Genomic DNA, 8,902 nt, shown 5'->3' on the forward strand with positions numbered 1-8,902 from the left:
AGGCTTTAATCCTTTTAAAGCGTGCTGTGGGATGGGATATTGGCGTTGAGTGGGGTAAGGGTGATTAGGTTTTAATGAGATGGTAAGGGGTGCATGATCAGTCGCCAAGGAGGGAGTAGAGGTGTCTTATACTTGTGGGTTAAGGTGGGGGGATACAAGAGGAGGACGCAAAGGAGGCTTTGGATTGGGAAGAAGGGCGGCAATGAGATATAGCTGTAGTCCAGGAATAGTCAGGGAAGCAGATAATTTACTTAAAGTGCCTCAGCCTAATAAGGGAACTGGGCAGGTGGGGATAACTAAAAAGGAGTGCTTAAAAGAGTAGTGTCTAAGTTGGCGCCAGAGTTGGGGAGTTTTAAGAGGTTTAGAAGCCTGGCTGTCAATACCCACAACAGTTATGGAGGCAAGGGAAACAGGCCCTTGAAAAGAAGGTAATGTGGAGTGGGTAGCCTCCGTATTGATTAAGAAGGGGATGGACTTACCCTCCACCGTGAGAGTTACCTAAAGCTCGGCGTCCGTGATGGTCTACGGGGCTTCTGAGGTGATCAGGCAGCGTCAGTCTTCAGCCGGTAAGCCAAGAAGGAGTCAGTCAGAGAGCCTTGGGCCCAGAGTTCCTTGGGCTCTGGGAGTGGCTGCCAGGTGAGTTGAACAGTCCGATTTTCAGTGGGGTCCCACACAGATGGGACGCGGCTTAGGAGGAATCCCAGGCTGCGGGCATTCCTTGGCCCAGTGGCCAGATTTCCGGCACGTGTAGCAAGCGCCTGGGGGAGGAGGTTCTGGAGGAACGCCTGGTTGCTATGGTTCAGGCGTTTGGAAGTTCTTGTGTGCTGGAGATGTGGCTGGGGTTTGTCTCACAGTGGAGGCAAGGAATTGCAACTTTTTTCTGTTATTGCACACCTTGAAGGTGAGGTTAATTAAGTCCTGTTGTGGGGTTTGAGGGCCAGATTCCAATTTCTGGAGTTTTATTTAATGTCGGGAGCAGATTGGGTAATAAAATGTATATTGAGAATAAGATGGCCTTTTGACCTTTTAGGGTCTAGGGCTATAAAGCGTCTCAGGGTTGCTGTCAAACGAGCCATGAACTGGGCTGGATTTTTATACTTGATGAAAAAGAGCCTAAACGCTATCTGATTTGGGATAAAGAAAAAGGAGCATTAACCTTGACTATGCCTTTAGCTCCAGCCACCTTTTTAAGAGTAAATTGCTAGGCAGGTGGGGAAGGGCTAGTCACGGAACGAAACTGTAAGCCGGACCAGGTGTGAGGAGGGGAGGCAATAAAAAGATTACAGGGTGGAGGAGCGGAGGCTGAGGAAGAATTGGGACCTAGCTTGGCCTGGCAAGGAGGGGAGAGGTCAGATGGGTCTGTAGAAAAGGAAGATTAGAAAGACTCAGCGACGCTTGGGGTTGGGACTGAGGGGACAGGCGGGAGATTTGGGACGAGTTGCACTGGGCACAGAGACTAGGAAGGGACTGATGTGTAAAAGAATGCCTGGACGTCAGGCACCTCAGACCATTTGCCCATTTTACGACAAGAATTATTTAGATCTTATAGGATGGAAAAATTGAAAGTGCCGTTTTCTGGCTATTTGGAACTACTGTCCAGTTTGTATTGGGGTCAAGCGGCATTGCAGAAGAAAATGAGATGCTTAGATTTTAGGTCAGGTGAGAATTGAAGAGGTTTTAAGTTCTTAAGAATACAGGCTAAGGAAGAAGAAGGAGGAATGGAAGGTGGAAGCTTGCCCATAGTGAAGGAGGCAAGCCCAGAGAAAAGAGTAGAGACATGGAGAAGGGGTGGGGGTTTCTTGCCCACCAGAAAAGCAGAGAAAGGGTCGGAGCATGGAAATAAGGGATTGGGGTGCAGACATAAGAGGTTGGGGCATGGAAGTAAGGGATTGGGGCACAGAGATAACAGGTTGGGGCGCGGAAATAAGCAATTGGGGCACAGAGATAAGAGGTTGGGGCATGGAAATAAGCGATTGGGGCGCAGAGATAAGAGGTTGGGGCATGGAAATAAGCGATTGGGGGGTTCTTGCCCCCTAGGAAAGCGGGACTTACCGCTAAGGGTGAAGGAGAAGGGGTTGAGTGGTACTTGCCCCTGCCCCAGGAAAGCAGAGAAGGGGTGGAGAGAAGGAGAGAAGGGGTTGGGGTACTTGCCCCACCCCCGGAAAAGCAGAGAAGGGGTAGAGACAAGGAGAGAAGGGTTGGGGTACTTGCCCCTTCCCCAGAAAAGCAGAGAAGGGGTAGAGACAAGGAGAGAAGGGGTTGGGGTACTTGCCCCTTCCCCAGAAAAGCGGGACTTGCCGCTAAGGGTGAAGGACCAAGACAGGCGTCCCTGCGTGGTCTGACACCTTTGAAACGTGGGTGAATAATCAGAGAGGCGTCCCTGCAATGATTAAACACCAAGGGAAAGCTGCCTTCCCAGTCTGTGACCGGCGCCGGAGTTTTGGGTCCACGGATAAAACATGTCTCCTTTGTCTCTCCCAGAAAATGAAAGGAATTGAAATTAAGAGAAGGGAGAGATTGAAGAGTGGAAAGGAGAAAGTGGTTGAGGGACAGTGAGAGAGGTTGGAGAAGAGAGTAAGAAGAGACCGCTTACCTGATTTAAAATTGGTGAGATGTTCCTTGGGCTGGTCGGTCTGAGGACCTGAGGTTGTAGGTGGATCTTTCTCACGGAGCAAAGAACAGGAGGACAGGGGATTGATCTCCCAAGGGAGGTCCCCCGATCCGAGTCATGGCACCAAATTTCATGCGCGTCCATGTGAAGAGACCACCAAACAGGCTTTGTGTGAGCAACATGGTTGTTTATTTCACCTGGGTGCAGGTGGGCTGAGTCCGAAAAGAGAGTCAGCAAAGGGAGATAGGGGTGGGGCCGTTTTGTAGGATTTGGGAAGGTAATGGAAAATTACAGTCAAAGGGGGTTGTTCTCTGGTGGGCAGGGGCGGGGGTCACAAGGTGCTCAGTGGGGGAGCTTCTGAGCCAGGAAAAGGAAATTCACAGGGTTAATCACTCAGTTAAGGTGGGGCAAGAACAAATCACAATGGTGGAATGTCATCAGATAAGGCGGGGCAGGGCCTTTTCACTTCTTTTGTGATTCTTCAGTTACTTCAGGCCATCTGGGCATATACATGCAAGTCACAGGGGATGCGATGGCTTGGCTTGGGCTCAGAGGCCTGACATTTCTCACATTTCAAAATGTAACAATGGTTTTCCAACAGTCCATTACCTCTTTCCAGCATTACCAGTAAAGTCCAAAGTCCCAAGTCTCTTCTGAGACAAGGCAAGTCCCTTTTGCCCATGAGCCTGTGAAATCAGAAACAAGTTATTTACTTCCAAGATACAATGGGGATTTAGGCATTGGGTAAATACTCCAATTCCAAAAGGTAGAAATAAGCCAAAAGAAATAAGATACAGGCCCCATGCAAGTCTGACACCCAGCAGCACAGTCTTTAAAACTAAAGCTCCAAAATAATCTCCTTTGACCCCATATCTCACATTTAGGGCACACTGATGCAAGGGTTAGACTCCCAAGGCCCTGAGAAGCTCTACTCCTGTGGCTTTGCAGGGCTCAACCCTCATGGCTACTCTCATGGGCCGGCATTGCGTGCCTATGGCTTTTCCAGGTGCAGTGTGCAAGCTGCCAGTGGCTCTTCCATTCCAGGGTCTTGAGGATGGTGGGTATCTTCTCCCAGCTCCTGGCCCAGTGAAAACTGTGTGGAGACACTTACCCCACATTTTGCTTCTATACTGCCCTAGTAGAGGTTCTTCATGAGGGCACTGCCCTTGTAGCAGGCTTCTGCCTGGACATTCAGGCTTTTCTATATATCCTCTGAAATGTAGGCTCCCAAGCCTAAACTGTTGCACTTTGTGCACCTGCAGGGTTACCACCACATGGAAGCTGCCAAGCTTTATGACATGTACCTTCTGAAGCAACAGGCCGAGCTGTACCTTGACCCTTTTGAGCCATGACTAGAGCAGCTGGGATGCAGTGAGCAGTGTCCTGAGGCTGCACAGGGCAGCAGAGCCCTGGGCCTGGCCCAAAATTTATTCTGTCCTCCTAGGCCTCTGGTCCTGTGATGGGAAGGGCTGCTGCAAAGGTCTCTGAAATGCCTTTAAGGCCTTCTCCTTATTGTTTTGGCTATTAGCACTTCGCTCCCTTTACTTATGCAAATTTCTGCAGCCTGCTTGAATTCCTCCCCTGAACATGGGCTTTTCTTTTCTACCACATGCTTTCCTACACACTTTCAGAAAACTGGATCTCATGAGAACTCACTATCATAATGACAGCACCAAGGAAGATGGTGTTAAACCATGAGAAACATTAGTTTATTTGCCAATGTCTGAGGTAGGCAGGTGAGGACAGCGTTTGTGCTGTTGTGGAAATGTGTTCTGAACAGGGACCTTGAAGTGAGGTGGAGGAGGTGGCCAAGGGAGAGAACACTCAGGACCCCAGATGGCTGCTGCTGCCCAGGACATCCCCGCCTCTTATGGATGTTACCCAGATTGTAGCAGGGAGAGGCTTCCTTTAAGTAGAGAGTAAACGGACTAAGAAAGCGATAGATGGCTCCACATGCCAAGAATGTTCTTTTCCTTTTCTCTCCCTTTTCTCCCTCTCCTTTTCTTTTCATGATATCAAATGCCAGAGAGGCGTGCAGAGCACGTAGGGGGCCTTCCTTGCGTTGCTGCTACCCAAGCCTGCCTGGGCTGTAAGTTCCCCCGGAGCACCCCTTTGCCCCCACCTGTGGCATGGTCGGCCTCTCTTGGGCCCAAGCCTACCCTCTGCTTCCTCAGAGCGGGTCTCAGACCAGGCAGGGGGTTTCCCAGGAGTCCCTGGGAAGGTTTGTTTTCTGCAGTGCCATGGTGACATAAATGGTTGCTTTCCTTATCATTTTTCAATATTTAGTGGCCACTGATTACTGCCTTAGAAACACGGAGCAATTGAGGTTTTCCTGCCCCTTTCCAATTCCAGTTCAATGTAATTTTCCTGCTGTGACTCCTGTCCCTCTCTGATGTCCTCTCCCCTATTCAGGCTTCAACAGAAGCCTTCTATCCCCTCTCAAAGCTCCGTCCTCCCCAGGAGACACCAGCCAGTCTCTGTGCTTCCTCCTCCCACCCTCTCCCAGGGAGTCCTCCCTCACCTGTGAGCAGGAGCCCCTGCCAGGGGATGCATCCTCTGCGGGGAGGGGCTGAGGGGGGCCTCATGGTCTCTGCTGCCTGCTTCTCTTCTGTGGAGAGGAGCTTAGCTCCAGGATGATCAGAGCTACTGTGACTGCCAGTTCTGCTGTCTTTCCTCCCTCTGTGCTGAGCCTTCTCTCAGGGCAGGAGCACTTCCTAGGGCCAGGGGCAGGGGCGGGACTCTGCCCAGGATGCTTCTCTGTCCCCTCCCCTCTCAGTCCTGCCTTCTGGTTCCTGCTTCCCCTTCCCTTCTGTGTGTGTTTGGTCCTTAGGACCTGCTGAGGCCATTTGCCTTCTTCAGATATGGCTCTCCTTCCACACTTGTCCACACACACACACATATACACACACAGAGACACACACAGAGACACACACAGAGATGCACACACACATACACACAGACATGACACAAACACAGACACACATATATACAGACATACAGGCAAACACATATACACATATATACAGACATAGAGGCAAACACTCACATATACAGACACACACACATATATACTCAGATTCATTGAAACTGAGACACATGTACACATACAGATACACAGAGCTGTCACAGGACAAACTAGCACAGATAAAGACTTCAAGTGGCTTTATTTGCCGTCCTAAAATCGGGCGAGACTTCATCCCATGAGACAATACGTGGGTCAAGGAGCTGAGCAGAAGCGCGGGTTTAATAGAGAGGGGAGGGCTGCGGAAAGCAAACACAAAAAACAGGGCCACTCGGGAAAGGCTCATGGAACAAGGGAGAAATCTCTGATGGGGGAGAATCAGGTTCCTGTTTTAGAAACGGTGAGAGCAGAGGGGAGGTCATTGTCATGCGATTGAAACTGGCCTGTTTGGGAAATCGGCTATTATCTTTCGAAGGTCAGGTAGCAGCTCAGTTTTCCTTTGGTGACCTGTGACATTGGGGAAGGACTGCATTGTGCTGTTGGTCTGGTCTGTTGGGGCCTGGAGCAGGAGCTCAGCCACTGCCATGGCCTCCTCTGACTGCTGTTTAGCAAAGCTCTCAGGTGGGGCTGATGGCGCTGTCCTGGGGAGGCCCTTTCAGTAGCAAGGCTGGTGCAACCCTGTCCCCTGGGAGGATGACCCGCCCTCCCCAGGGCTGACCTCTGCTATCTCCTGGCCTCAGGTCTGTCAGCTCCACACACAGAACCCTGGGGATCCAAACCTGGGGAATTCTTTCTTTGTGATGCAGAAACCCAGCTGGCCAGGTCTCCCCATGCTCTTTAGTGCTTGGGAAGGTGGGATGATGCCCAGCAGGAAGGTGACAGAGGTGGCTCTGGGGGATAGAAAGGAGCTCACTGGGGGATGACTGGGGAGGGACCAGCCCTCTGTCTCCAGTGTCACCAGCCTGGCCTCTGACCCAAAGAGACCCAGGCTGGACTCAGGTGGAGCTCCAGCTCCAGGGTGTGGAGGAAGTTGTCCTGTGTGTCCTGGGTAGAGAGGACTGTGGTGGAGGGAGGTGGGTGGCTCTGAGCCCTGCTGTCCTTGGGGAAGGCTTCATGGAGACCCTCCCTTTCTGTGTCTGTTGGCTGAGCTGTGGCTCAGGGCCTGTCCATGTTCTCCCTATGTTCACCCCTTAACCTTGCAGGTGGTTGGGGGGGCGAGAGAGATAGAAAGACTGTGTCTGTCTGTGTGTGTGTGTGTGTGTGTGTGTGTGTGTGTGTGTGTCCTGTGGCTACCACACCTTCCCCATGGGTGATGCCAGGAGGAAGTGGGGAGCTGCACAAAAACCCTTGGCAGAGCAGGCACCATGAAGGAGCAGGCACATGGCAGGGACCAGAAGGGTCATTTGGGGCAAGGGCTGGAAACCAGGCTCCACCTCTACCTCCTTAGCAAAGCCAGGTTCCTGTCCAGGGGAATCCATTTCCTGAGTGTTATCTGTGTGTGATGTCGCCCCCTGGAGGGCAAGAGGAGACTTGTGGCCTTGTCAGGGGCTGCCCCAGGGACACTGACCAGGGTCTGCATGGTATGAGCTGGCCCTGACCCCTGGGCAGAAGTGGGATCTGACCTCCAGACTGCAGGGTCAGGTCACCCCAGGTCCTGTTCACTGCAGGTCCCCAGGCTGCCCAACTCCATGCAGTGCAAGATGAGCCCAGGGAGAGGACAGGAGTTATCCAGAGAACAGCAGGTCGAGATTCAAGAGAACTGTCCACCAGGAGGATGGGCTGCCTTAGAAGGAGCCACCTGTCCCCAAGGTTTCAAAGGAAGGGCTCAGGGAGGTATCTCTGGGGGCTTTAGAGAGAGGATGCCAGCCTGGGAGGTAGGTGGTCCCCAGAATGCCCTGTGTTCCTCCATCACAGCACTGGGGGTGCTGCCTCCAGGTCAACTGTGTCCCTGTCTGATGCCCACTGTCACTGCTGTTACTCAATATTGTACTGGAGGCATTGGCCAATGAAATTGGGGTACAGATACGAATAGAGATATAAGACTTAGAAAGAGGGAGAATAAGCTATACCAATTCACAACCAATATGTGATTATATATCTAGGAAATTCCAGACATAGTGAAAAACTAATCAATGCAAGAATTTAATAGAAAGATGTAAAGTTAACATAAGGAGGTTAATAACTTTTATACACAGAAACAATACTCAGATAGAAGGTGTAATATAAGACCTCTTTTATTATGACAATATAAAGATAAAACACCTGGGCATACCCTTAACAAGAAATTTGTAAAACCTATACGAGAAAACTCTTAAAACACTCCTAAAGGACACAAAATTCATCTTCAAAAGATGAAGAGACACATTTAGTTTCTTTTCGATCACTTTATTATGAAAATGTTCAAGCACACAAACAAATTGAAAAAGTTGTACAGCCAACACTTACATACTCATCATGTAGATTCTGTAATTGTTAATATTTTGTAGTATTTGCTTGATTAAATATTCTTACATCCATGAAAATAAATCCATCCTATTTTTTCATGTATGTCAGAGTGAGTTGCGGATCTCAGTACCCTTAGGCCCTAAATACCCCAGCACTAACGTCATTAACTAGAGTTTAATATTTGTTTCTATCTTAGGTGAAATTTACATAAAGTAAAATGCACAAAGTTGTAGTGTACCTTTTGATGAGTTTTGACAAATAAGTGCATACACCCATGCAACCCCTTCCAAGACACACACAGTTCCTGTTGCCCCAGTGAGTTCCTTCCCAGCCAATCCTCATGCCCAGTCCCACCTCCAGAGGCAACCATCGTGCTGAGTTTTCATCATAAATTAATGTTGTCTGTAGAAGAATTCCATATAAATAGAATCATACAATGTGTACGTTTTCCTGTGGGTTAAATTTTCTTTTGCTCAGCAAAATGTTTTTGAGAATGAAGTATTTTGTTGCCTCTATCAGTAGTTTATTACTTTTTTTTTTTTTGAGACAGAGTCTCGCTCTGTCGCCTAGGCTGGAGTGCAGTGGCATGATCTCTGCTCACTGCAAGCTCCGCCTCCCGGGTTCATGCCATTCTCCTGCCTCAGCCTCCCAAGTAGCTGGGACCACAAGCGCCCGCCACCACACCTGGATAAATTTTTTTTTTTAAATATTTTTAGTAGAGATGGGATTTCACCTTGTTAGCCAGGATGGTCTCAATCTCCTGACCTCGTGATCCACCCGCCTCGGCCTGCCAAAGTGCTGGGATTACAGGCATGAGCCACCGGGCCCGGCCTTGTTTATTACTTTTTATAGCAACATAATATTCAGCAGTGTGAATATACCAC

At 49.8% G+C, this 8,902-nt stretch overlaps 1 long non-coding RNA gene across 1 annotated transcript; it reads right to left on the reverse strand.

Moving 5' to 3' along the window:
• Nucleotides 1-2,777: 2,777 nt before the first annotated feature.
• On the reverse strand, nucleotides 2,778-5,297 carry LINC03078 (long intergenic non-protein coding RNA 3078). The gene is made up of 2 exons (NR_186343.1): nucleotides 5,133-5,297; nucleotides 2,778-3,297 (listed from the first exon to the last, which is right to left on the reverse strand). It is a non-coding gene; the product is annotated as a long intergenic non-protein coding RNA 3078 (long non-coding RNA).
• Nucleotides 5,298-8,902: the final 3,605 nt, after the last annotated feature.

Source organism: Homo sapiens, chromosome 19 (genome assembly GCF_000001405.40).
Source record: "Homo sapiens chromosome 19, GRCh38.p14 Primary Assembly".
Classification (NCBI taxonomy): Eukaryota; Metazoa; Chordata; class Mammalia; order Primates; family Hominidae; genus Homo; species Homo sapiens.